This window comes from Homo sapiens, chromosome 20 (genome assembly GCF_000001405.40).
Source record: "Homo sapiens chromosome 20, GRCh38.p14 Primary Assembly".
In the NCBI taxonomy this organism is placed as follows: Eukaryota; Metazoa; Chordata; class Mammalia; order Primates; family Hominidae; genus Homo; species Homo sapiens.
This window is the reverse complement of record NC_000020.11, coordinates 44,707,767-44,735,074: the sequence shown is the minus strand read 5'-3', so window position 1 is coordinate 44,735,074 and position 27,308 is coordinate 44,707,767. Positions and strand designations below refer to the sequence as shown.

The 27,308-nt window shown below is 49.2% G+C and overlaps 1 protein-coding gene and 2 long non-coding RNA genes across 5 annotated transcripts in view, besides 2 other annotated features; 2 read left to right on the top strand and 1 right to left on the bottom strand.

Annotated features, from left to right (window-relative positions):
• Positions 1 to 23,213, top strand: part of KCNK15-AS1 (KCNK15 and WISP2 antisense RNA 1) — a 34,366-nt gene extending 11,153 nt beyond the window's left edge. Inside the window, exons 4-5 of the long non-coding RNA NR_132377.1 lie at positions 18,282 to 18,450; positions 23,087 to 23,213. This is a non-coding gene — a long non-coding RNA (KCNK15 and WISP2 antisense RNA 1). The remainder of the gene's footprint in view (positions 1 to 18,281; positions 18,451 to 23,086) is intronic.
• CCN5 (cellular communication network factor 5) lies at positions 7,264 to 20,214 on the bottom strand. Of its 3 annotated transcripts, NM_001323370.2 has the most exons (5): positions 19,914 to 20,214; positions 19,625 to 19,709; positions 14,962 to 15,178; positions 10,083 to 10,337; positions 7,264 to 7,988 (listed from the first exon to the last, which is right to left on the bottom strand). In NM_001323370.2, the coding sequence occupies exons 2-5, from the start codon at positions 19,682 to 19,684 to the stop codon at positions 7,768 to 7,770; spliced, it is 753 nt and encodes a 250-aa protein (NP_001310299.1). In that variant the 5' UTR covers positions 19,685 to 19,709; positions 19,914 to 20,214; the 3' UTR covers positions 7,264 to 7,767. The 3 variants fall into 3 exon arrangements, with proteins under 3 accessions (NP_001310299.1, NP_003872.1, NP_001310298.1); NM_003881.4 differs by lacking the exon at positions 19,914 to 20,214 and having other exon boundaries at positions 19,625 to 19,706; NM_001323369.2 differs by lacking the exons at positions 10,083 to 10,337; positions 19,914 to 20,214 and having other exon boundaries at positions 14,954 to 15,178; positions 19,625 to 19,706.
• Positions 7,841 to 8,366: an enhancer, noted in NCBI's record as "OCT4-NANOG-H3K27ac-H3K4me1 hESC enhancer chr20:43355350-43355875 (GRCh37/hg19 assembly coordinates)". NCBI's record gives its function as "activates a minimal SCP1, AML or CMV promoter by ChIP-STARR-seq in primed H9 embryonic stem cells {active_cell/tissue: H9 hESC(primed)}" and the evidence as "EXISTENCE:reporter gene assay evidence [ECO:0000049][PMID:30033119]".
• Positions 20,113 to 20,407: a silencer, noted in NCBI's record as "tiled region #14821; K562 Repressive DNase unmatched - State 8:EnhW". NCBI's record gives its function as "represses a minimal TATA promoter and a strong SV40 promoter by Sharpr-MPRA in K562 cells {active_cell/tissue: K562}" and the evidence as "EXISTENCE:reporter gene assay evidence [ECO:0000049][PMID:27701403]".
• Positions 20,301 to 26,672, top strand: LOC124904911 (uncharacterized). The gene is made up of 2 exons (XR_007067598.1): positions 20,301 to 21,134; positions 25,605 to 26,672. It is a non-coding gene; the product is annotated as an uncharacterized LOC124904911 (long non-coding RNA).
• The last annotated feature ends 636 nt before the right edge of the window (positions 26,673 to 27,308 follow it).

Here is a 27,308-nt window from a genome sequence, read left to right as displayed (position 1 = left end):
TGATCTGTATCTTGTGCTGACCTCCTATCTCATCCTGTGACTTAGAATCCTGTGACTTAGAGTAGCCATTCTTTATTCCTTTACTTTCTTAATAAACTCACTTTCACTTTATGGACTCACCCTGAGTTATTTCTTGTGCGAGCTCCAAGAACCCTCTCTTGGGGTCTGGATTGAGACCCGATCCAGAACATAAAGATCATCAGCCATCTGGAGTAAGCGGTGATACCACCAGGTTCTCCAACTCTGGGTTTTAGTCAGATGGCCACAGAGCAGGGGTCAAGAGAGGAAGGCAGGGGAGTGGGACTGCAGTGAGATGTCTCAGAGACTGAGAGAGGCAGGGGGGTTAGTGGACCTGGAGGGTGTGTCCTTGAGGTGAGTGGTAGTGAGGGGGTTGAGAGGGTAGAGGGAGTCAAGTCAGTCACCTGTGTCCCACCCCTGCTGGCTTCAGGGCAGGGGAGAAGCTGCTGAAGAGGTTCACGTTAGGTTATTGGCCATCCAACAGAGACTGGATGAAAAGACCTGGCCCAGCGAAGACGTTAAAACCTTTTTCATGAAAGCCAGTGGTGAGGGGGCATTGGGCAGTGGAGGTGTGACCAGAAAGGGGTCCTGATCCAGACCCCAAGAGAGTGTTCTTGGATCTCCTGCAAGAAAGAATTTAAGGCAAGTCCACAAAGAGAAAGCAAGTTTATTAAGAAAGTAAAGGAATAAAGAATGGCTACTCCATAGACAGAAGAGCCCTCAGGGCTGCCGGTTGCCCATTTTTAAGGTTATTTCTTGATGACATGCTAAACAAGAGGTGGATTATTCATGTGTCCCCTTTTTAGACCATAGAGTGTAACTTCCTGACATTGGCATGGCATTTGTAAACTCTCATGGCGCTGGTAGGAGTGTGGCAGTGAGGACTACCAGAGGTCACTCTCGTCGCCATCTTGGTTTTGGTGGGTTTTGGCCAGCTTCTGCAGCCTGTTTTATCAACAAGGTCTTTATGATCTGTATCTTGTGCCGACCTCCCATCTCATCCTGTGACTTAGAATGCCTCATCGTCTGGCAATGCAGCCCAGTAGGACTCAGCCTTATTTTACCCAGCCCCTACTCAAAATGGAGTTGCTCTGGTCTAACGCCTCTGACAAAGGGGCCATAGATAAAGACCAGGCCAGTGTGATGGGGCCACTTGCAACCAAGTTTGTCAGCCAACCTGGAGGTGATGAAGAGGACTTGGCCCCTACTTCTGCCCTTGGGTTCTCCCTGATGTCATAATTCATGTCAGTGGAAGTGAAAAAAGATGAATTCTTGAGAATCAGATGGCTGAGAATGCACCTCAGACCCTAGACCACATTTTAGCCATGGAGAGGCAGGTGGCCTTTTCGTTAGCACCTGACACATGGTGGCCATTGGTTGCCTCCCCTTTCCTAGGCAGAAAGTCGAGGGGTACCTCCCAGGGAGGCTGTTGGAGTTGCCCCTTGAAGACAGCCTCCTCCTGGCAGGTGGCCTCTCGGCTGTTCATGCATGGAAATGCCACAAGGAGGCAGCAGCACATCACTGCTGTCCTCCCCCGAGCTGGAGCTGTGTCTGATTTTAACGAGATGGGAGGTTTGTTAAAATAGATTTCTGGGCCCTACTCCCAGAGCTTCTGTAGGTCTGGGATGGGGCATTTCTAACAAGTCTCCAGGTGATGGCTGCTGCCTCTGGTCAGGTACAATGGATCTATCTGTTAGAAGTCAGGATAGTGATTATCTTGTGGGTAGTGAAGAGAGGGAGACCAAGGTGGATTTTGGAGGTGCAGGCAATGCATGGTCCTGCTGTTGACCCAGGTACTGATTGCATGGGTGTGCTCATTTGTGAAAACTGGACTAACTGAACACTTTTATTTGTATACTTTTTGTTTGTTTGTTTGTTTTGTTTTTTCTGAGACAGGGTCTCACTCTTGTCACCCAGGCTAGAAGCAGTGATGCAATCTCGGCTCACTGCAACCTCCGCCTCCTGGGCTCAAGCCATCCTCCCACCTCAGCCTCCAGTGTAGCTTGGACTACGGGCATGTGCCACCATGCCCGGCTGATTTTTGTATTTTTTGTAGAGGGGGTTTCACTACGTTACCCAGGCTGGTCTCGAACTCCTGAGCTCACGCGATCCACCCGCCTCAGCCTCCCAAAGTACTGGGATTACAGGCATGAGCCACCGTGCCTGGCCTTGTATACTTTTTATACTTCATTAAAAATTCAAGAAAGAAGAAAAAGCCAAGGAAAAGAGAAACAAAATGGAAAGAGAGGAGGAGAGAGGATGAGAGAGAGAGAGACAGAAGAGAGAAACGGTGAGAGAGAGAAACATAGAGAGATAGAAGAAAGAGAGAGGAACAGAGAGAGAGGGAGAGAGGCTGGGCTAGCCGCTGGTTCAGCTGGTTCTGACTTCCCATCCTGGATTGTGAGTGGTGATTCTATTCTTCAAGCCTCAGCTTCTCATCTGTAAAATGCAGATCACAGCAACCACCTCATTTTCAATAAGAGAAGGTATAGAAAGTGTGAAAGGAAAATGAAAACCCCAATTCACTCTGCCAAAAGGAAAAAACTAAGCTGAAAGTTGAGTCATGCAACAAGCTGCCTTTCCTTTGTTCGTAAGCAGAGAGCCACAGATAAAAGGCCAGGTATCTCCACGAGTAGCCACTCTGTGTTCACCTTATCTTATGTAAAGTTACAGAGCGTGAGACGAATACATAATCGAATACATAATTTCCCTACCTGCTCTTTTTCTCTTGCAATATGTGGATTTCCAGACCCTCCTTCTTTCCCCTCCAGCCTGCTTTCCCCTTTAAATACTGAAGCCCTCAAAGTCATCTTTAGAGAAAGGCACAGACCTCTCTACTGGGCGTGTCCTTAACCTTGGAAAAATAAATGTCTAAACTGATTGAGACCTGTCTCAGACACTTTCTGGTTTACAAAAGCATCAAGAACACAGTAGCTGCTCAATAAACAGTGAGACTGTAAGCTGCTCCCCTTAAGTGTGTGGGCTCCCCTGGGCGCCGTCGTTGTTCCTGGATCCCAGAGCAGGGCGTGGGAGGGCCTGGCTGTCTGTGTTTGCTAGATTCATTTTAATTGTAACTAGTTAGGATGGGGAGGACCACGGGTGTCCTGGCAGGCAGGAGGACCTCCTGGGGCCTGTTGATGCCCTTCACTAGGGAAACTTCTTCCTTACGGCTCTCGGCTGGAGGAGGATGGTGTGCCAAGGGCCCCAGGAACAGGCCCTGTGCCAGGTCCTTCAGCCACAGCTGGTAGCGGAGTCCTCTCCAGAAAGCATTCTGCCCCGGGACACTCAGCTTGCCCCGCAGACCCAGGCCAGCACTGAGGAAGTGAGTGCAGAAGCTTCCCATGGAGGAATGGCCAGGCCTGGGCACCTGTGGCCGTGAGAGCTTCAGAGAGGGTAAACCTGGTTTGCCCCTGTGACTTTGCCCCCGACACGTTTCCTCTTCTCCACAAACAAGAGGATTCCCAGTCTTTGCCTTCACAACACTTGCCAAGAATTGCAGGCAGGATGATAATAATAGCTTCAGTTGAAGAACATGGAGGAATTACCTTCCTAATACTCACAATACCCCTGCGGAGTGGATACTCACTATTTTTTTTTTTTTTGGCAGAGTCTTGCTCTGTTGCCCAGACTGGAGTGCAGTGGCATGATCTTGGCTCACTGCAACCTCCACCTCCTGGGTTCAAGTGATTCTCATGCCTCAGCCTTCCAAGTAGCTGGGATTACAGGTGCGTGCCACCACGCCTGGCTAATTTTTGTATTTTTAGTAGAGATGGGGTTTCACCTTGTTGGCCAGGCTGGTCTCGAACTCCCGACTTCAGGTGATCCGCCCGCCTCGGCCTCCCAAAGTGCTGGGATTACAGGCGTGCTCGCCACTGCACACAGCCGGGTACTCACTTTATACAGCCATCCTGTGGGGTGGGCACTACTATTTATTCCCATTTTACAGATCAAAAAACTAAAGCGCCAAGAGTTAGGATAACGGTTGCTAAAATTTATTTTATTTTATTTTATTTTGTTGCAGACTACCACAATTACTACTTGAGACTGTCACTATGACAGTTATTACTGTTACTACTTGAGGCCGTCATTACAGCAGTTACTACTGTTACTGCCTGAGACTTCATTACAGGACTGAACGAGGGGACGAATGTAGAAATGAAAACTTAAGACAAAAGAAACTGTTGTAAAGGAAAGGGCCAGGGGAAGAAGAAGAGAACTCCCTGCTTCTAGTGAGCAAAGGCAGTCCCTGAGCTTCCACAGCCCTTCCTATTTATTGGGTAGAATGAGCAGGGAGGAGGAGGTAATGACTGGTTAGCTGGTTGATTGATCACAGATTCATATTGTTACTAACAGGTTTCAATTAGGCCTAATCACAAGAAACACTATGCTTGGAGCGTGACTGCCCTCAGCATTCCTTCTGGATGGCAGAAACAGTTTGTCAGTTTGCCAACATTCTGCATTTATGAGAAATAGTCTGCTGCTTACTCATATAGCTTCCAGTGGTATACTGAGTTGATCATGACCCTCAATCTTTCGGCCTCCAATATTTATTTATTTATTTATTTATTTATTTAATGAGACAGAGTCTTGCTCTGTCCACCAGGCTGGAGTGCAGTGGTGCGATCTCGGCTCACTACAACCTCTGTCTCCCCGGTTCAAGCAATTCTCGTGCCTCAGCCTCCTGAGTAGCTGGGATTACAGGTGTGTGCTATCACACCCAGTTAATTTTTGTATTTTTAGTAGAGACGGGGTTTTGATGTGTTGGCCAGGCTGGTCTCGAACTCCTGACCTCAAGTGATCTGCCCGTCTTGGCCTCCCAAAGTGCTGGGATTACAGGTGTGAGCCACCGCGCCCGGCCCTAAGTTTTTTTGTAAATCACGTAACACTTTCAACAATCCTCTGTGTTGAGTATTGCCATTATCCCCATTTTAAAGAAGGGGAAACTGAGGCACAAGGAGGTTAAGTACTTTGCCTAAGATGACAGCACTAGGAAATAGCAGAGCCAGGATGCACACCTGGGCAGGTTGGCTGAGCCCACTCACTCTACCACTGCACAGTGGCGGCTCAGCTGTGAGGTCATGGGCCTGAGTCCCAGCTCCACGACTCCAGGGTAACTTGTTAATCACTCTGGGTCTCAGTTTACTCATCTCTAAACAGGGAGTATTAGTGGCACTTTCCTTTAGGAATGTCCCAAGGATGACGTGCAGTGGTGTGGACAGAGTGCGTGGCAGAGAGAGCCTTATGTATGGGAGTCCCTCGGTGCACATTCCTCATTCTTGTCCGTGTTCTCCCTGTTTTGGGGGATGTTATCAGAATTTTGCCTGGAAATGTGTTTAGGGTTTATCCTTGCAGAACCAGACCCATGGAAATTCTCAATCTGTGAGAGACCAACAGCCATTCTCAAGAGTCAGATAAACTCAGGTTGGACTAGCATCCCACCCCAGCTGCAGACCAGCTTTTAGACAGCTCGCTTTCCCGGGTGTTTCCTTATCCCTGAGCTGGAGTTAGTTATATTTGCCATGCAGGGGCTCTGTGAAGGTTACATGGCTCAAACTCAGCATGTGATTCTCAAACTAAGGTTTCTGGAGGGGGTGATACCTGAGATAAGTGTTGGGGGCTGGGCAGCAGGGGCCTCTGTGACCAGCAACCGTACCTGGGGTGGGTAATTTACAAACACTGTGTCTGGGAATTGCCCTCATTCTCAGAACCCTCCTGCCCTTCCTTGTCCTGCATCTCCCAGGCTCCCCTCTCTTCCACCTTCCCAGCAGGTTCGACTCATGGGAGGCATAACTGGAAACTGGGGGATAGCAGCAGGCAGAAGCCAGGGCAGGTCTCCCCACCTCCATCTACTTTTTGTTAGGTCTGCGAGGCTGTGTCTCCTTAGCGGCTGCAGCTCCCAGCAGACAGCCTTGCCAGGTCCTCTTCCTCTGCCTGCTGGTGCCAGCTCTGGGCTCTGCCCTCCCTCTGCCCCTCCGCCCCGAGGGCTGGTCTGGTGTTGAATTTCTCCTCTTGCATCACACGGTCCCCTACTTGGCCTCTCAGATGGGTGACTAAGTCCTCTCATTAAATTCCTTTTGTTTTATTATGTTGAGTGAAAGACGTCATTCATTATAGAGTACCTGCTGTATGGTTGTATTAATGAGAAGTTCAAGAACACGAAAGCTCATCTATGGTGATAGAAATCAGAGCAGTGGTTGCCTTGGGGAGCAGGGGGATAACTGGAACAGAGCCAGAGGGAACTCCCTGAGATGATGAAAATGTTTTATACCTTGATTGAGGAGTTGGTTACATGAGCGTGTACGTTTATGAAGACTCGTTAAACCATATGCTTAAAATCTGTATATTTAACTATGGGTAAATTATACCTTAATAAAATTAGTTTAATAAGAAGAAATCCCTGTTTAAATACCAAGAGTGTTTTCTAATTTCCTGCTTGGATCCTAATGGAAATACAGTTTTACTTTTTAAACAAACACAGGTAGACCATGGAGGAAAATGTAAAATATATGTATTTGGTGTTGGGTGTTTTTTTTTGTTTTTGTTTTTTGTTTTGTTTTGTTTGTAAACAATAAAACATGAGACTTCGAACAATTTCACCCTTGGGTTAGTTGATTTCAGGCTATGCTCCCCAGTCCCTGGGAGGCAGCCTTCATTCTCCCTGCTCTTCTCTGGTCAAAAACGCTGGGAAGCACTGGTCTGTATAAAGTGCTAGTGCCTAGCACATAGCAGGCGCTCAAGCAATGTTAATTATTGGCTGGGCGCAGTAGCTCACGCCTGTAATCCCAGCACTTTGGGAGGCCGAGGCGGCGGGCGGATCACTTGAGGTCAGGAGTTCGAGACCAGCCTGACCATCATGGCTAAACCCCATCTCTACTAAAAATATATTTAAAAAAAAAAAAAAAGCCGAGCATGGTGGCATGCGCCTATAATCCCAGCTACTCAGGAGTCTTGAGGCAGGAGAATCACTTGAACCCGGGAGGCTGCAGTGAGTCGAGATCGTGCTATTGTACTCCAGCTCCAGCCTGGGCAACAAGAGCAAAACTCCATCTCAAAAAAATAAATAAATAAAAAAGTTAATTATTATTAATATGAATTGGGTTTCTTGGATCACTTGAAGGCCTGTCTTCTGGCTTTCTTTAAGACCATGTGATTTCACCTTGTGAGGTTCACAGAGAACTCTGCCCCTGAATTCTGCCCCGGATAATGGGAGGGCTTTCTCAGAAAACACAGGCCTGACACACAAGATCACGCATAGGCTTGTATTCAGGAACAATTTTACAAACTCCAGAAAAGGCAGCAGGAGATCCAGAATCTCTGTGTGCCTTCTCTTCATCCTACCCCCAGAAAAATGGCCAGTCCAGCCCAGCACCTGCTGCAGCCTCAATATTAAGGGACTGCTTGTCCCATCTCTTGCCCAGGGGAAGTCGGAGAGAAAGCTCGCCCGTGTGCATGTTTGATATAGGCTGTGTGTGTAGGCAGGGAGTGGGCTAGAGGACCCTGGACACCTTGGCCAGCCTCCTAGGCAGTGAGTTAGAGGAAAGGGGACTAGGTCTTGCACCTCTGCCATACCTCGGGATCCAGACAGACCAGGCAGCGTGTTAATATTGGTGTTCTGCATGGTGGACCCAAGCTAAAGTGTTGCCTGCAGCCAAGGGCCTGGGCACGGACCATCTTCCATCAGCCCAGGGCCCAGGCACAGGGCCACCAGCTGGGGATGGTGGACACCGTGTCCCCATTCCCAGCCCGGCTCTAGAAGGCACTGTTTTGTGGACTGCGACCCCTGGAGGGTGGGCAGGGCCTGGACAGGCACAGGCGGCGCTGGGTCTCCAGTCGGCAGAAGCGGTTCTGGTTGGACACCCGGGTGGCCATGCCCAGCCCACAGGTGGTCGAGCAGGGTCCCCAGGCCGTGCTCCATTCTGGGCAGGGGACACCAGGGGGCAGGGAAGAGACAAGGCCAGAAAACTGGGGTCCTAGGGGGGAAAGAACAAGAGTTAGCACTGAGCAGCCAGGGCTCAGCAGCTCAATCAACCCACCTGCCAGCGGCCACGGCAATCTTGGTCAAATGGCTCAGCCTCTCTGCATCTCAGTTTCTTGTTATGTAAATTTCTTAACAGTGGATGGCATTGAATAAAATAATGGGCATGAAGTGCCTAGCACAGTACCTGGTACTTGTAAGATTTCCATAAATATTAGTTATTTGGCAACCAGAGTGTGTTGGTCACGATGGTCCCTCAGTGAACCATGGTTTTCTCGTCTCTTTGGATAAACAGCATTTTACAGGCAGGGGGTGCCCAGCCTGTGTGGAGTGGTGCTTTGGCCCAGTGGCAAGGATGCTAAAGATTCCAGGATTCTTGTGCCAGGAACAAGATGGCAGGTTCACCATGGTCTAGCTTTTTCTCTGCTCCAAGTCTCCCTCTGTGAGTATTTTGGTGTCCTTCCTTCTAGTCTTACACTAGAAGTCCTCAACTAGGGTAATTTTGCCTCCCAGGAAAGGTTTGGCAATATCTGGAGACAGTTTTGGTGATCACAACTGGGGGGATGCTACTGGTATCTAGTGAGTAGAAGTCAGGAATGCTGCTAAGCACCCTGCAGTGCACAGGAAAACCCCCCCAACAAATAATTACTTGCCCCAATTGTCACTAGTGCTGACGTTGAGAAACCCTGATTTCTACCCACATGTGTGTGCTGTGTATGCATGTGTATGTGTAGATATACCTGTATACGTGCATAGGGACACACTTAGTTGAGATCGAGTTGGAAATACACCTTCTTATCCTGCTTTTATCCATAAGGTGAACTCACTGGTGTTTTCCTATGTATTTAAATGGATATATCATATTCCATCACAGGGATAATAACGGCTACCTCTGATATAGTACCATGTGCCAGGCACTGCTACAGCTGCTTAACTTGAACAAACTCAAGTAGTTCTCACAACGCTATGAAGTGGATGCTCTTATTGTCCCCATTTTACAGCTGGAGAAACTGAGACACAGAGAAGTTAAGCAACTTTCTCAGAGTCACACAGCAAAAAGGGGATGGCGGGGCTGTTGCAGATGCCGTGCACCTGACCCATAACACGTGACTACCTCTTGTGGGTGGCAGCAGCATTTATGAAATCAATCCTCCTCTTTTCAGTTGCCTTTTTTAGAAAGTCACATTCATGTGATAATTTTCAAAAAGCAACACAGCAACAACAAAAATCTCTAAAATTGAAGATTTATAGTGGGACGGTGGGAGGTAACTGTCTTTTCTCCATCTCTAGCCCACCCCCGGCCCACATTCCAGAGCAGCCACTTTGCCTCGTTCAGTTTTGAGTTCCTTTTTTAGTAAGCCCAAATAATAATAAATTACTAAATATATTAATATGTATCAATATATTATAAATACGATAATATTATATATTCTAAGAGCTTAGCTCTATTATATCTCTGAAATGTGAGAATTTGGTTCACATACCCTAACCCACCTTTCCTCTCCCGGCTCTGTCACCCAGTTTTTATTTTTAATTATTTATGGTTTTAAATTACACATCTCAAAGGCAGTGGCTTTTTGTTTATTGGTTTTAAAGAGGGAGGCCTGGTGACCCTCCACTCCTCTTTCTTTTTTCCTCTTTTTGAGATGAAGTTTCGTGCTTGTCGGCCAGGCTGGAGTGCAGTGGTGTGATCTGGGCTCACTGCAACCTCTGCCTCCCGGGTTCAAGCGATTCTCCTGCCTCAGCCTCCCAAGTAGCTGGGACTACAGATGCCCGCCACCATGCTAGGCTAATTTTTGAATTTTTAGTAGAGACGGGGTTTTCCTATGTCAGCCAGGCTGGTTTCGAATTCCTAACCTCAGGTGATCCGCCCGTCTTGGCCTCCCAACGTACTGGGATTACAAGGGTGAACCACAGCGCCCGGCCCTCCACTCCTCTTTCTTATCTCCCTCCTCAGCCTCCGCCCCTCCCAGCTTCTGATGTGTCCCTGGGTCCTGGTACCCAGGAAGCCGCCCCCCACCCCACCCCCTAGGTGGCCCTTGGCGCCCCCAGGCAGTCCTGCCCTGACCTGGACCACCGCTGCGCTCACCTTGGGCTGGAAGGGGCTGGGTCCCCAGTCCCCCTCCTTGGCCGCACACCCACTCAGGGCAGCACTTGCCCAGGACCTCGACCCTCCTGGGGTGGGGGCAGTCCCAGCTGGGCAGCCGCACATCCTCGCTGCACAGCGGCACGCAGGTGAAGCCGCCGTCCTCGCAGCGGCAGCGGATGCTGCAGTGGGGCTGGAAGGTCTCCCCTTCCCGATACAGGCGGCCGTTCACCTCACAGCTGCTGTCGTCCTCTGCCACTGCGGAGGAAAAACCGCACCCCCATCGGTGACCCGCAAAGCGGCACAGCCTTCTCTGCAGAGCTGCCCAGATCCCGCTGCCTGAGGCAGCTGCCTCACAGTAGCTGGGCCCTGCCCAGGGCTCCAGCCCAGGATATGCACCTCTCCCCAGCCCTCCACCAGCCTGCTGGGGCACCCTGGATCCCGGCACAGGGATTGCAAGAAGACAGGCCTGGATTGACCCCCCAAACTCTGCCCTTTCTTAGCTGTGAACCTGGGCCAAGTGATTTCACTTCTTCTTGCCTCAGTTTCCACATTTGCAAGCTGGGATATAATGGTACTTATTTTCCAGGGTGGTAGAGACTACTCGGAATGATAGGCGTAATGATCACAACATAAAAGAGACCTTCCATAGGTCCTAGCTACTCTGTTATTATCATTAGTATAGTTACTATATATTAATAAAGTTTAAGTATTCTATACACGCTGAGATTTCATGCAACAAAGTCGTTGTCCACTTGTGCTGTCATCACTGTCAGGTCAGGGCTTAACTTGCTGGCTGTGTGTCTTTGAGTAAGTTACTTAACTTCTCTGAGTGGCCTGAACTACAGCAATGATGAGCTCAGTAATCGTAACTTCAGGTTCCATGGGATGACATGTCCGTACCCTCTAGCACACAGTGCTAGGCATGGCCTAGGTGCTCAGGGAACACTCTTTCAATGAAGCCCTCAAGATATGGGTGTTATTGCCACTTCCTCCACTGGACATGAACTCCTTGAGGGCTGGGGCGGCCAGTGTGCGTCTCTGCACCCTCCGGTGGGCTCAGAGCCTAGGTGCGACACACAGTACTGTAGGAATGCCCCTTCAGTGAATAGCTGGCATAAGCCTTGGCACATGAGAGACCCTGATAAAATAGCCCTACTCCTTATCATTCCAGAGATATTTACTGTTTCCCGCCTGTGTGCCAACCACTGTGCTCCCAGACAGAAAGAGGACAGTTCCTGCCTTGAGGGACTCATGGGCTTGGGAAAGGGGGACGGGTGTGAGGGCATCATCTCCAAGACAGAATGAAGTAAGAGCGCTGGTGAAGCGTGTGAGCTGCTCAGGAAGTGCAGACGGGAAACAGCGTGTGTGTGAGACCTGGGTGGCCACTGAGCTACGTCTGGGGAAAGGACTCATTAGCAAACAAGTTCTCCCAGATCTTCTGAGAAAACCTTCCAGTAGGTCTGTACACACACAGGGGTTTCAGAACCAAAACCACACATACTTAGGTTCCAACTCTGGCTCCCACTTGTGGGGCCTGGGGCAAGTTATTTTGCCTCTCTGAGCCTTGGTACCCGGCTCACAGGGCTGCTGGGGGATTAGATGAGCTAGGGGACTTACAGCATTTTGCCCCAAGCCTGGCACATAGCAGATGCTCAATAAACAGGAGAGGGTTATGCTTCCACGTAGCATCTGCTATGTGCCAGGCTTGGGGCAAAATGCTGTAAGTCCCCTAGCTCATCTAATCCTCCAGCAGGGAAGGCCTTGCTGAGAAATAATGCTGGTAGAGGGAACAGCCAGTGCAAAGGCCCTGAGGCACGAGTGTGCCTGGGGTATTTAAGGAACAGCAAGGGGCCAATGTGGCTGGAGCAGAGAGCAGGAGGAGAGGAGGTCAGAGAGGAAGCATGAACAGGATCCTGTTGGGGCCTTGTAGGCCACTGTGGGGACTTTGGCTTTTCCTCTGAGATGGGAAGCCACCAGAAGGCTTGGGGCAGAGGAGGGAGGTGATCTGGCTTATGACTTCCCAGGAGCTCTCTGACTGCTGTGTTGTGAATAGACCAGGGGCAACGACAGAAGGAGGGAGATGATTATGGGGCTACTGCAAAATCCAGGCCAATGATGACGGGGCTCAGACCAGAAGGGATGGGAGTGTCGGATGCTGGAAATACACGATGAATTTGCTGGTGGGTGGTATGTGGGAGGTGAGAAAAGAGAGATGTCTAGACCGGCTGTGGTGGCTCATACCTATAATCCCAGCACTTAGGGAGGCCGAGGCGGGTGGATCACTTGAGGTCAGGAGTTCCAGACCAGCCTGGCCAACATGGTGAAACCCCGTCTCTACTGAAATACTAAAATACAAAAATTAGCGAGGCATGGTGGTATGTGTCTGTAATCCCAGCTACTTGGGAGGCTGAGGCGTGAGAATCGCTTGAACGCAAGAGATGGGGTTACAGTGAGCTGAGATCCTGCCACTGCACACCAGCCTGGGTGAAAGAGTGAGACTCCATCTCAAAAAAAAAAAAAAAAAAAAGAGAGAGAGATAGAGAGACCTCTAGAACGACTCCCAGGTCTTGAGTCTGAGCCATGAGAAGGATGGAGGTGCTCTCAACAGACTGGGGAGGCCGTTCTGGGGGGCGGAAGATCAGGATCCCGGCATTGGATGCGCTGTTATCACGATGGTGAATCTGCAGCACATCTCACAGCTCAGAGTTGGCCCTTAGAGAAGAGCGTTCAACGAGTAAGTGATGGGAGAGGTTTTTGGCAGTATGTTCCCTGCAAAGCCCTAGACTGAGCCTTTGTGATGTCTTAGCTGGACTCTTTGGGGTTCACCAGTTCCCGGCCTCTAAATTCAGTTTAAATCATTAAACACTGTTGAGCACCCATCATGTTGACAGACCAAGGTGGGAAGTTGCAGGAAGGACCAGGGACCCAAGTACGCCTTTGGCCTGCAGGTGTTTGAAGTCTGAATTAAGATGGAATAAGAAAAATCCCTTAATACAGTTATTAACAATCACAGCCTATGTACTAATCAACTGCTGCATGTCAGGCAGTTGAGCAATGGAGCTTGTGGAGCCAGCTCCCTGAGTTCAAATCTCAGCTCTGCCGCTTATGAGCTGTGTGACCTTGGGCAAGTTGCTTAGCCTCTCTGTACCCCTTTTTTCCATTTATAAGAGAAGGGTACCTACCTCATGTGGTTGTGAGATTAAATGAGTTTATATTTGTGAAACCCTCAGTGTCTTACACGTGGTAAGGGCTGTGCAAGTGTAAAATAAACTCTGTGGGTGCTGTTTACACGTGTCACAGCAAATGTAAATAACAGCTTTGTAAGCGAAGTGTTACTTATCTCAATTGTTCTTCAGATACATTTTCATAAGCAATCATCCCTCAGTCAGTGTAACGAATCACCCTCCTTATCCTTACAGTACTTGTAAATAAAGCATTTCACATGGAGTTATTACTTTTTTTTTTTTTTTTTTTTTTTTTTGGAGATAGGGTTTGGTCTGTTGCCCGGGCTGGAATGTAGTGGCGCAACCATGGCTCACTGCAGCCTCAAACACCCAGGCTCAAGCGAGCCTCTCACCTCAGCCTCTCAAGTAGCTGGGACCACAGGCATGTGCCACCACACCCGGCTAATTTTTTTTTTTTTTTTTTGATAGAGAGAGGATCTTACTATGTTGCCAAGGCTGGACTAGAACTCCTGGGCTCAAGTGGTCGTCCCGCCTCAGTCTCCCAAACTGATAGGATTATAGGCATGAGTCACTGTGCCTGGCCTGTTGTTTTTTAACAAGGCTTTTCCTACAGATGAATTCATTATCAATGATTCATGAGCTTCTCTCTCTCTCTCTTTCGTTCTTATTTTTATAAAAGTGTGACATGCACATAGATGAAAGAGGCAAATTGTTCTACAAGGCTTATTATTAAAAAAGAAAAAAGAAGAACAATCTCTTGCCTCTTTGCATTTCTCTAAAGTGATGGTTCCCAACTGGAGATTTTGCCCCCTGGGGAAATTTGGCACTGTCTGAAGACAGACTGTCATGACTTGGGGGATGGGGAGTGCTGCTGGCATACAGTGGGTGGAGTTCGGGGATGCTGCTAGAAGTCTTACCATGCACAGGACAGCCCTCCCACAACAACTAATTCTCTGGCACCCAGTCACTGGAGCCAGCTTGCAAAGCCCTGCCCCGAAGCATCAGAGAATACCAAGGCCTAGAAGAGTGGTGAGGAATGTCACATGCTCGGGTGACTGCTGAATACATGGCAAACCCAGGATCCCAGCAGTGCTCCGAGGGCCCCCACTATGGGAGAAGACAGAATAAACTGTTCCTTAGAGCCCGTTGGATCTGGTCCCGTGCCGTGTGACATGAAGCATGTCCCTTAATGCTGGTGAACCTGTTTCCTCATTCATAAAATAGGTCTGAAAGTACTTCCCATCATAGGGTTATTGTGAGGATGATGTGACTTGTGTAGTAAGTGCTTAGCACAGTTCTGGACACATATTATGCCCTAAAAGGTTGCACTTTTATTTTCCCCAAAGTGTTGTAAGGATCCTGAGAAGGGAGTGGTGGCATCTGGTTTGAAGAATCTGGGGGGGCTTCTCAGGGGAGAAGCTGTTTGAACTTGGCTTTGAAAGTTGGCAATGATTTGGACAGGTAGGGATGGGGAAAGGTTATTGGGGTAGTGAGATGGTTTAAGCAGAGGCCAAGAAGGGAGAGGAGGGAGTGGGGAGTGGGCTTTGGGACACCAAGTTCAGCTGGAATGGATGGGATACCTGAAGTGAGCACCCAAGGAGGTAGAGAGAGGAGGGCTGCACTTTGATCCAGGACACCACGGCCTTGACCTCCCGCTCACACCCGCCCCCACTCAGTCCTGCAAACCTGCTTACAGAGGCACAGGGCCCCCCGGCCACCGGGTCCTGCCCCGGGCTGGCAGACCAGGCCCTGGCTGGCGTCGCAGACGTGGAGTTGGTCGCAGGGCTCCCCCAGCCGCCGTGCACATACCCGGCAGCAGCCACAGCCATCCAGCACCAGGGGTACTCCCAGCGGGCATCGGGGAGGTGGCCAGGGGCAGGTACATGGTGTCGGGCACAGCTGGGTACGCACCTGAAGAGACAGAGACCTCACTCAGCCACGGGCTTTCGAGGTGGGCAGTGAGACCCTCACAACCAGCCACTTCTCTGCCAGGCTGGGTAGTGTGGTGTCCACACCTTAGCCTCAGAGCCATGCAGACCTGGCCTCAAAGGCCAGTAGTCCCACAACATGCCCTAAGAGGCAGTATGGCATGTAGTTATGGGCAAGGACTCTGGACTAGAGTTCCAGTTCTTTATTTTTTATTTTTATTTTTGGAGTCAGAGTCTGGCTCTGTTGCCCAGGCTGGAGTGCAGTGGCGCGATCCCAGCCTCACTTCAACCTCCACCTCCTGGGTTCAAGCGACTCTCGTGCCTCAGCCTCCCGAGTAGCTGGGACTACAGGCGCCCACCACCATGCCTGGCAATTTTTGTATTTTTAATAGAGATGGGGTTTCACCATGTTACCCAGGCTGGTCTTGAAATCCTGAGCTCAGGCAATCCGCCCGCCTCGGCCTCCCAAAGTGCTGGGATTATAGGCATGAGCCACTGCACCTGGCTAGACTTCCAGTTCTAATTCTGCCCCTTATTAGCTGAGTGACCTTGAGGAAGTTACTTAAGCATTCTGAGCCTCAGTTTCCTCAAAGTATCTAACTCAGAGGATTGCTCTGAGGAGTACATGAAATGCTGCACAGCAAACCCTCAGCACAGGGCCTGGCATGCAGTAGGCGCTCACTGCACTTAGCTTTGATGATCCTTGTTGTTAATGGTGGCAGAGGGCTCAGCCCCAGCCCTCTGGGAGCTTACAGAAAGGCAAAAGCAACAAGTCAAGGATGAAAATGGTAGGGTCTGGTACATTTTCCAGCATACGGATACTTATCTTAGGACTGAATAAATTGAACCATATCATGGATGTTTTTGGCCTTTCGATCCATTCAGCATGTGTCCCAGCTCTGGAGGTACATCACATCAGCCAGGAGACTTGGGAAAATACAGACCCCCAACCCACTCTGGGGCTTACAAAATCAGAAGTCCCAGAGTCAGGGACCTGGAATCTTTATTTTTAATAAGCTGTCCAGTGGCTTCTGAAGCTCAGCTAGGTTTTCAGCACCTCTGCCCCAGTCTAACCTCCTCCCCCTGCCAGGTACGGATGGGGAAACTGAGCTCCAGAGAGGGACAGGAACTTAGCACACGTCAGTGTGTTCGATTCAGGGCTGGGAGCGTCCCCGGTCCTGCTTCCCAAGTGAGGACTCAGGGACACGGGATGGGGGTAGACTGTGTCCGTAAGCCAGGGACCCACTCCCCAGAGACAGGATCAGGGTATCAGCCCATGTGGCCTGCCTGACCCTCGCCACCCACATCAGAGAAACAACCAAAGCATACAGCAGGTGCCGTGAGCTCCCTGTCTGCCCATTTGAAGGTGGGGACCAAGAAGGAAGTATAATTCAAGATGCTTCCAGTGGCCCCATCTTTGGGGGGCCAAGTTTGAGTTTAGTAGGATCCTTAGGGGATGAGGGTTTCATCTAGAGGAATGGAGGCTTGCAGTTTATAATGATGGAATTAATGACCTCATATCTCCTGTGCAGCCCCAAAGCAGGCAATGACCCCTTTGCTCTGCCTCACCCTCTGCCCCGCCCAGTGCCCCCACTACCCACAATCCTGCAAACCTGCTTTCAGTTCCCGGCAACTCCCACGCCGGCCACTAGGAGCCATTGCAAACTGGCTGACCAGCCTCTGGTGGGGGCCACAAAGTAGGAGGCGATCACAGCCCCCACTGAGACAGCACTGAGTAGCAGATGGACACACGGAGCTAGGTGTCTGGCTGCCTCACAAGGGAGTGGATCCCATCGCTGCAGGCTGTTCAGATTCTAGAGACGATGGCCTAGCCTCGCCCCTCAAGGTGTGGTCTGAACTAGCAGCAGCAGCGTCATCTAGGAGCTTGTCAGAGAGGCAGCATCTGGAGCCCCTCTATAAATCCGAAGCTGAATTTTTATATAATAAATCCGAATCTGCATTTTCTTTTCTTTTTCTTTCTTTTTTTTTTTTTTCTTTTTTGAGATGGAGTCTTGCTCTGTCACCTAGGCTGGAGTGCAGTGGCACGATCTCGACTCACTGCAACCTTCGCCTCCCAGGTTCAAGCAATTCTTGGGAGGCCTCAGCCTCCCAAGTAGCTAGGATTACAGGTGCATGCCACCATGCCCAGCTAATTTTTTGTATTTTTAGTAGAGACGGGGTTTCACCATGCTGGCCAGGCTGGTCTCAAACTCCTGACCTCATGATCCACCCACCTCGGCCTCCCAAAGTGCTGGGATTACAGGCATGAGCCACCACGCCCAGCCCGAATCTGCATTTTCATAAATCCACAGGTGATTCACATAGAAACGGTCTAGGCTTTTGGGTTCCCTTCTAAGTCAGAGGTTCAGCTCCCTTGGCTTGTGGGCAATGGAGGGAGGACTGTCAGAAATGACTCTCAGGTCCCTCCCACCTGAAAACAGGAGTGCCAGGAAATAGACCAGCAGCTGTGCACCTTGGCTCCCACTGTGGACCCCTCTACTGGCCATGCTTGTCAGGGGGCAGGACTCTGTAGGCCCCGATACCCAGGAGAGGCTATTAATGATATCAACTATTCTAGTGTACAATTATCTCATGTGATACCATATGTATGTCATGTGCCAAGTGCTGTTGTCTCATTTACCCCTCCAATGTGAGGTGCCATCATTATGCCCATTTTAAAGATGAGAAAACTGGAGCTCAAACCGTGTAGTAACACAGCCAGTAAGAGACAGAATCAGGATTGACATCCAAGTTCAAGTTGACATCCAAGGCCCAAACTCAAGTTGTCCCATTGTGCCTCAGTTTCCCCAGGGCCTTGCTGTGATATCTGGTGGTGGGGGGCAAGGCTCATGATATCTGGGGCAGGAGTACTGGGCATGGAGTTTTTTGGGCAAGAGTTGAGATTCAAGTTCTGCCAGTGACTTGCTACGTGACTGAACATGTGGACAAACGGCTTTGGAAGGTGGAGGTGAAGCTCAGTTTTCTCCTCTGTAAACTGGAGTAGAGACAACCTGTTTCTGAGTGATGATGGAGATTAAATGAGGTTCTGGCCAGTCCTTGATCAATGTGATTTTGCTTGTGTCCAGGTGTCTGCCTCCTGCCCCGGTCCACAGCCAGGAGCCCCGGAGCCAACGGCCAGCCTGGAAGACTTACAGTTCTCCCTCTGAGGGTTGCTGTGGCTTTCCATGTTGTGGTGACTAAGTCCCTGTGTTTCTGTGCAGTCCCTGCTTCCTGGGACCAGGGAAGAATGGTCCCGTAAGTCTCACCCTAATGGCAAGTCTAGGACAGCTTTACTTTGTTCTCGTATAATCCTGGGCCCCTTCTCCCTCCTAGAGCCCCAAGTCCCCTATTCCAACTACCCAAGCCACCCACACTGGCATCATGCCCTACCCATCCCCTTTGGAAGAACAAACAGCAGGACAGGATGCCAGCGTGGTTCTCAGGCTTCCCAGGCACGAAGACTTGGAGCCTGAGGGAGAGAAGCTCCTGCCCGTGCTCCTCAAAGGAGCGTGAAAATACAGTGAGATCGTGGCTTGTGGTGGGGCCGATTCCATGGCTCTGGGAACTCAGCATTTGCCGAGGGGATGACAAGGCTTAGCAGCTGTGGCCTTGGTCCAGTTTGGGCTTGGGGAGGCACAGACTGGAGTGCTTCTCCCCCTACATCCATGTCATTCTGGGCTCCACCATGGCTCTCCTCTATTGCTCTGACCTTTCTTTGCTGTGTGGCTTTGGGCAAGTTGCTTACCCTTTCTGAGCCTCACTTGACTGAAAACTGGGGTTGCAAGTTGCTTACCCTTTCTGAGCCTCACTTAACTGAAAATTCCTTATGGGATTGTTGTGCATGTTAGACAAGGTAGATGTCCCACAGGCTCTTTGGTGAATGTCCCATGCAGCATTCAGGGATAAGGCCATTACTCCACAGAGGTGTCTCCTGTTCCCCTCTAGCTAGGGCGGGCGGGTCACTCACTGCCTAAGAGTCCAACAGCATTGATGCCCTTGCAGAATGAACCTTCCAATCAGCTAGGCATCCATCCAAATGCTGGCTCAGAGTTAGGCCAAGCATGTCATGTCTTGAGTGCCCCCATTCATAATGAGGATACATTAAAGTCCTCTTCAATTTGCCTGGTAAGTTTGATGAATGATCATGAATGGTCTTCACAGAGGCCTCACAAACTGTATACCCTTCACCTGGGAAGATGCTGAGGCCCAGAGAAGGCAAGACACATATCTGAGGTCACACAGCAGGGCTGGCCGGAGGCAGCTCTGAGTTCCAGGGAGAGAAGCCCTGCTTAGGCATGGGGGCCAGACTGTGCCCAATGTGGGGCCCTGGAGGAATTCTGCCAAGGGGGTCCTTGGCTGCGATTTTACATCCCCACCCCCTCCACACCCAAATAGTCAGCAGTGCATTCCAGGGCCCGGGCCTCCTTACCTTTGAGAGGAGGCAGAGGAGGGAGAAGGCCAGGAGGTGGGTCTTCGGTGTGCCTCTCATGTCCCCTGCAGAGCCAGCTTTGAGCCTGGGAGGCGGACCTGTGAGTCTTTATGTTCCGGCAGCTGTGAGGTCACTCCCAGGCACACACAGGCACACGCACGAGTACACACGCGCGCGCGCGCGCGCGCTCACACACACACACACACACACACACACACACAAACACACTAGCTTTTTCATTCCTTGCTTCGCTTCCCATCCTCATGGCTCAAAGGATGAGCCCATTTACCTGAAGGTGAAACTGTGAAGGCCACCAAGGGGGTGCCTGTCCGTGTGTGTGTGTGTGTGTGTGTGCGCGTGTGTGTGTGTGAAAGCCTGAGCCAGTGCCAGCACCAAGAGCCTGTGACAGCTTGCAGAGGCCTCTCCAGCTCCTTCCAGCCCAAGAGGGTCCTAGCCCTGCTGTAGTTGTGAAGCCCTATTCCAGACCCCCTGTCCGAACCCCAGCGGGGCTGCAGATACCAGAAGCATTCAGTAAACAACCCCTTTGCAGAGCTGACCCAAGGTCTCCTAAGCTCCGTGGCCCTGACTCTGGGTAGCCGCGGCCCAGCCTGCGGTTTCTGGCAGGCAGATTGGCAGCCACCCAGAGGTGGGTGTGACCCAGAGCAAAACTTCCCTGGGCGGCCTGTTTGCTCTTGGCAATAAGGGGCCTCCCTTGGCCTGCCTCCCGGCTCTGGAAGGGGGCCCGTGGTGGGCGAGTCCGGGCAGGCTGGACCTACTATGTGCCAGCGCTTGCTGGGCACCGCTAGATGATGGGGTCAAGCCAAATCCATTTGGTTTCATTCGGCCGCCTCTGAGTTCGCCTCTGCAGGAGCTGGAGGCACAACACTGACCTGAGGACAAGGCCCAGAGAGGGAGAAAACAGAGGGAAAACAGGTGGAAGTTCAGGAATACCAGGCAAGGTCCCTTGCTCAGACCAAGAGTGAGGGACACTTTCTGATGGAGGTGCCATTTCAGAAAGCCAAGAAAAGAGAGGGTGAGAGAGGGCAGAATGTTCCAGGCCAAGGGAACAGTACGTACCAACGCCTAGATGTCGGACATAGCATGATAGCCTGCTTATTCTGGGAGCCAAAGCGCCTGGTATGAGTGGAGCCTTCTGTGCAACGGGAAATGGTGATGTCTGTGAAGGGTGAGACACACAAGTTCACATCACCAAGATTTGGGGACATCTACTATGTGCCAGCCATGGGGGCGGGGGACAGAAAGACATGGGCTTTGTTTGTAGAATTTGGCAAAGATAAAAGAGGTGATGTCAAGGGCTGTCTGGGGCCCCCATTACCTCCACCAGTAGTTGTCCAAACCTCAAAGTGATCTAGCTGGATAGCAGAGGTTCCAGAATGGGCGATTGGTGAGGAAGAAGTGTGACTTGATATAGTGGCAAGACGGGGATTGTGAGCATGGAGGAGATTCCCCACGGGTGCTGTCCCATCGGAAGAGGCAATGGAAACGGAAGGTGAAGATGAAAGTGTGGGATTTGATTATTTATGGCAGGAAGAGGTGGCCAGGGTGGAGATGGGGGTCTGGAAACTTGGAGGAAAAGAAACAGAAGGGATCTTTTAAATTTTGTTTTATTTTTTGGGATTCTTGTGGAAATGCTAATGTTTTAGTCAGAAGCATGCCTAGAATAATTTACATCCACAGTGGATCATTTTTAACACCCCTCTTCCTTCATAGTACAAAATTATTTTCAGTAATAATCATGAAACAAAACAAATATTTTTCATGTATGAATTAAAATTTGCACTTACCAAACAAAATCATTACCATTCACAGTTCACACTGTTTTACTCTTTTAAAAACTGTAAATACAAATCAAAACTCCAAGTAGTTTCGTAAAATGACAAAATTGAAATACCCTTATCGTCATCTTTCCCATCATTCTGCGTTCATAGTTGATTTCACTCTACTGTTTAAACACAGAAATACAGCTGGGCCGGTGGCTCACGTCTGTAATTTGGGAGGCCAAAGTGGGAGAACCACCTGAGATCAGGAGTTCAAGGCCAGCCTGGCCAACATGGTGAAACCCGTCCCTACTAAAAAAAAAAATACAAAAATTAGCCGGACGTGGTGGGTGCACACCTATAGTCCCAAGTACTCAGGAGGCTGAGGCAGGAGAATTGCTTGAACCCGGGAGGTGGAGGTGGCAGTGAACCGACATCTTGCCGCTGCACTCCAGCCTGGGCGACAGAGAGAGACTCTGTCACACACACAAAATAATAATAAAAATAAATGCAGAAATATGAATGCTGGACGGTGGAGACAGGAATGCATTCAAAGCAAGCTTGGAAGATTCCAGAGTTGTGAGGAGCTTACTCTCAACTGATGTGTGTTCCTGAGACCACATGCTCTGGGGGCAACTATAGGATTCTTAAAGTTCTCCAAGTCAAGTTGACTTCCATGTAGAATATGTTTATTAAAGGATAAGAATAAAAATGTGCTGATTTGAAGCTTTACATATACATTATTAAACCCCAACAGTTACTGCACCAATTGTTAGAACTTAGATCAATAAAGGGTATTTTCAGGACAAAGTATTTTACCACTGAAATTATTTAGATCTGCCATTGCACAGTGATCATAAAAGCAGACTGACTTCTCATCAGTTTTATTTTATCTTTAAATTCTGTAGGCCCCCCACCCGTTATTGCCTGCATCCAGGAAAGGTCACTCCGACTTTCCTGTCCTCCCTAGGCCACTGATATTAATAAAAATAAAAGCAATTGTGTATAGCACCCAGCAAGATCCAGCCCTTGTGCTAAGCACTGTTTATAAAAAGCAGCATTTCTAATCCTCATGATCCACATCTCAATTGAAAAAAGTGAGGTTCAGAAAGGTTAAGTAACTTGCCTAAAGCTACACAGCTAGAAAACAGAGCCAGGTTTTCAGTGCGGGTTCATATGACTCCAACACCCAAGTTTCAGTTTTTGATGCTGTTTATTTCTGCTACTGTCCATAGAGCTCTCTGTGATAATGTTTTTTAAGTTGAGAGGTAATGTATATACAGAAAAGTGCTTAAAGTGCACTAATATGAAGTGTAGAGCTTGACAACTCTTTCTTTCTTTCTTTCTTTCTTTCTTTCTTTCTTTCTTTCTTTCTTTCTTTCTTTCTTTCTTTCTTTCCTTTCTTTCTTTCTTTTTTTTGAGACAGAGTCTCACTCTGTCTCCCAGGCTAGAGTGCAATGGCATGAACATGGCTCACTGCAGCCTCAGCCTCCTGGGTTCAAGGGATCCTCCCTCTTCAACCTTCTGAGTAGCTGGTGGCATGAGGCAGCATGTTTGGCTAATTTTGACTCTTGACATATGTATATACATGACTGTATATACCCATGTGATAATCACCCAGGTCAAGCTACACTTCCAGAAGTTTCCTTATGCCCCTTCCAAGACTCTACCCTCTGTCCTCCAGGTACCCGCTATTCTGACCTCTGTGGCCACTGATTAGTTGTTCCTGAAAGGAACAGTTTTAAGCCACTTCTATCTCTGAGGCAAGAAGGAAGACGGGAGAAATGAGGAGGTGTGAGGAAGAGAGTTGGAGGGAGACACGCTGGTCCCAGCCATGTCCATAGCAGAGCAAGGAGACCTTGACAATGAGGAGGTGAGGTGGGCCATGGGTGCCACGTATGGTGAAGAAGACAGGGCCATACGGGGCAGGGAGGTGGCAAGAACGAGGCAGAGTGCTATGCCCACCTAGGGCCCTCTGAGTCAGAGCATGGATTTTTCTTGGAACTTTTTCTGTCTGATAACTGAGGATGGGAAAGTGTGGGCAGTAGGGGCCCTGGGGCCTGGCCAGATCAGGAAGCAGGCGTCATCATCAAGGGTGTTTGGTGATGAAGTGTGAGGGATGGAGCTTGCACACACAGTTCAGCATGAGTGGGTGTGGCAGGAGCGGTGGGAGCTGCCACTTTGCTGATTGGTTTGCTGCGGTTCAGCCCTCCCTTCAAACTGTCCAATTTTGGCACCAGAGGGATATAAGCATCCAGGGAACCCATGAGTCTTTTGGCTGCAGCCGCAGCCCCCACACAAGGGCCCAGGGTGAGTGTGGCTGTCCTTTGCTTTCCCAGGAGGAAGCACAAGCTCAGAAGTCAACAGGTCCGAGCTTCAAATCCCGGCTCCCGCTACCGACTTACAGGGCTGGGACCAGGGTGAGGTGACAGAGGCATGTCGGGTATAACATTTAGGGAGGCTCTCATTCTCAGCTGCTGACCTTGCACTTGCACAACCCCAAGAGTGAGCACCTCATTCAGAATGAGGCACCCAGGTCACACAGGAGTTCATGGTAGGAACTCAGTCAATGTTGGTTGATGGCTAAATGACAATTTCCGTAAGACTGTGCTGAGATCACAAACTAATGCCCACATCTCAGTGGCTTAACCCAGTGAAGCTAATTTCTTGCTCGTGAATGGTCCAAAGTGGGCCAGGCACATCCTGTAGCTCCTCCCTACTCAAGTGTGTGGTCCAAGGACCGATGGCATCAGCATCAGCTGGTTGCATGTTGGAAATGCAGACTCCCAGACCCCACTATCAGGATCTGCATTTTAGTAAGACCCCCAGGTGATTTGCATGCACATTACAGTTTGTGAATCCCTGTTCTAGACCGGTGGCCTCCAAGGTCACCTTGGCAGGAAAAAAGAGGGATGGAGAAGCCACATCATCACTTCTACTCACATCTTATTAGTCAGAGCTAGCCACATGGCCCCAACTTAACTGCAAGGAAGGCGGGGAAATACCATCATTCCATGTGTATCAATGAAGGAGAACCAGAGTGAGGGACATCTAGGTAATATTCTTTGCCGCAGGTACCTTGGCATCTGGGACACACACTTTTGCTTCTCTGGGTCTCAGTTTCTCCATCTGTTAAAAAAAAATAAAAATAAAAGCGGCCTGCATGTTCTTCCAGGCCTGGGCCAGGCTGAACATTTTTAGCGTCTAAGAAATGCATCTGGCCGTGCGCGGTGGCTCACGCCTGTCATCCCAGCACTTTGGGAGGCCGAGGCAGGCAGATCACTTGAGGTCAGGAGTTCGTGACCAGCCTGGACAACATGGCAAAACCTTGTCTCTACTAAAAATACAAAAATTAGCTGGGCGTGGTGGCCCGTATCTGTAATCTCAGCTACTCAGGAGGCTGAGGCAGGAGAATTGCTTGAAACCGGGAGGCGGAGGATGCGGTGAGCCCAGATCGCGCCACTGTACTCCAGCCTGGGCCACAGAGTGAGACTCCATCTCAAAAAAAAAAAAAAAAAAAAAATGCATCTGAAAAGTGAAACTTACGAAACATCACCATCAAGGTACAGCATATGGAAGCCACAAGTAAATATCTGCGGTTGAAAGCCCTTTGCAGTTTGTCAGCTCCCGAGGTGTGTGCCCGCTTTCCCGCTTACGGCCTCTACCCCATGCCAAGTCCCAAGCCGACGCTGGGGAGGTGGAGCTCACAGGTGTGACATTAGGTAGTGGGGACAGAGAAATACAAAACAGATCCTGACCCCAGCAGGGCTGGAAGTGAGGAGGGGCAGTGCTGTAGTGGCTGGATGTACCAGGGTGTGAGGGGACACCTGTACCATGGGAAGGTCAACAGTCAGGTGAAAATCCCAACTCCGCTGCTAATTTGCTTTGTGGCTGTGTGTAAATTCCCTCACTTCTCTGGACCTCAGTGCCCCAGTTTCGTGTTTTGGAGACTGAGATCTGTGACAGAGCCTGATCAATGCCCATTCCAATATCCTTCTTCCCTCCTCCCTCAGTCACCAAACACTGATTTTTTTGTTTGGGGTGGCGACGCACTCAGCTTTGCAGGAGGCGGGGCCACGGGATAGGTTCCAGCACGGAGATACAAGCAGGAGTGTTGTGTGCCGATTCTGGAAAGGCTCCTTAAAAGGAAGGGCTTCCCTTTGGTGACTCCACCACCACTGATTGCTGCCTCCTGCTTCCAGTCAGTAATACGGACGTGATGGTGGAGTTCTGCAGCCATCTTGGACCATGAGGGTACCCTGAGGATGGACTTCGTGTGCAGAAGAGGGCGAAGGAGAAATAAAGGAACTCAGATCCCTGATGACACCCAGAGCTGCCAAATGCACCCTACATGTAGATTTCATTCATGTGATTAGAAACATAATAATGTGTGTGTGTGTGTGTGTGTGTGTGTGTGTGTGGTGTGTAGAGAGAGATATAATGTTTTATATATATACGCTATTTTTATACTTATGTATATATATACCTTTATTTATTTATTTATTTTGAGACAGAATCTCGCTCTGTTGCCTAGGCTCGAGTGCAGTGGCGCAATTACGGCTCACTGCAGCCTCCACCTCCTGGAATCAAGCAGTTCTCCCACCTTAGCCCCCTTAGTAGCTGGGACTACAGGTGTGTGCCACCATGCCCGGCTAAATGTTTTTTTAAAAAATTTTGGCAATATGTTGCCCAGGCTGGTCTTGAACTCCTGAGCTTAAGCAGTCCTCCCACCTCGGCCTCCCAAAGTGCTGGGATTACAGGCGTGAGCCACCATAGCCAGCTGTGCTTTTAAAATGTGTGCATGTGTGTATATATATATGTATATGCATTTTATATATAATATATTTATATGTATATATTATTTTAAAACCTTTCTATTTAAGTCAAAATTATGTTGTGTTTTTCTGGTTAGTTATTGCTGATGTAAAAGCGTCATTGATTTTTGTTGCTGACTGTGTATCTGGCAACCTTGCTGAACTCTCTTATTTGTTCTAATATTTTGTCAGTTTATTTGGTTGGTTTTTCAAGGTAGATGATCACACCATCTACAAACAATGACAGTTTTATCTCTTCCCTTCCAATAATTACACCTCTTATTTTCTTTCCTTGTAGCTCAGCCCAGCTCTCCAGCTCTATGTATTAAACAGTAGCAGTAATAACTAGCATTCTTGCCTTGTTCCTCACCTTAAAAGGCATGTATTATATAAAACTTTTCTCCACTAGCAATATTTTCTGTAGGTTTTTGGTATTAAAAATCCCTACTAAATTAAGGAACTTCTCTCATGCTCCTAGTTTGCTAAGAATTTTTAAAAATCATAAATACATAAAGACCTTATCAAAACCTTTTTCTGCATCAGCTGACATCGTTGGATTTTTCCTTTTGATTGAATGATGTAGTGAGTTACACTGGTGGATTTTCAGATGTGGATACTTTTCTGGGATAAACCCTTCCTGATGGTGATGTAGTATCATTATTTTAACTCTGCTAGACTCAGTCAGGAAAGATTTTGTTTAGTGTTTTCCTATCCATATTCATAAGTGAAATGGACCTATACTTTCCTTTGTGGTATTGTCTTATCTGGCTTTTATAATCAAGACAACACTTTTAAAATAAGATAGGTTGGTTTTTTTTTCTTTTGTTTTCTTTTTAAGCAACTTGCATATGATACGAATTAATTGTTTCTAAAAAGTTTCTGCAGGCTGGGCGCGGTGGCTCACACCTGTAATCCCAGCACTTTGGGAGGCCTAGATAGGTGGATCGTTTGAGTCCAGGAGTTTAAGACCAGCCTGGGCAACATAGCAAAACCCCATCTCTACTAAAAATACAAAAATTAGCTGGGTGTGGTGGTGCATGCCTGTAGTTCCAGCTACGTGAGGGGCTGAGGCAGGAGGATACCTGAGCCTTG

Excerpts from the sequence above, each read along its gene's own strand:
- CCN5 (NM_001323370.2), bottom strand. The coding sequence starts at position 19,684 with ATGAGAGGCACACCGAAGACCCACCTCCTGGCCTTCTCCCTCCTCTGC. Across the intron at positions 10,338-14,961 it reads CCGGGGGGCCCTGTGCCTCT|TGGCAGAGGACGACAGCAGC; the intron begins GTAAGCAGGTTT and ends TTTCCTCCGCAG. Across the intron at positions 7,989-10,082 it reads CCAGCCCCTTCCAGCCCAAG|GACCCCAGTTTTCTGGCCTT; the intron begins GTGAGCGCAGCG and ends TTTCCCCCCTAG.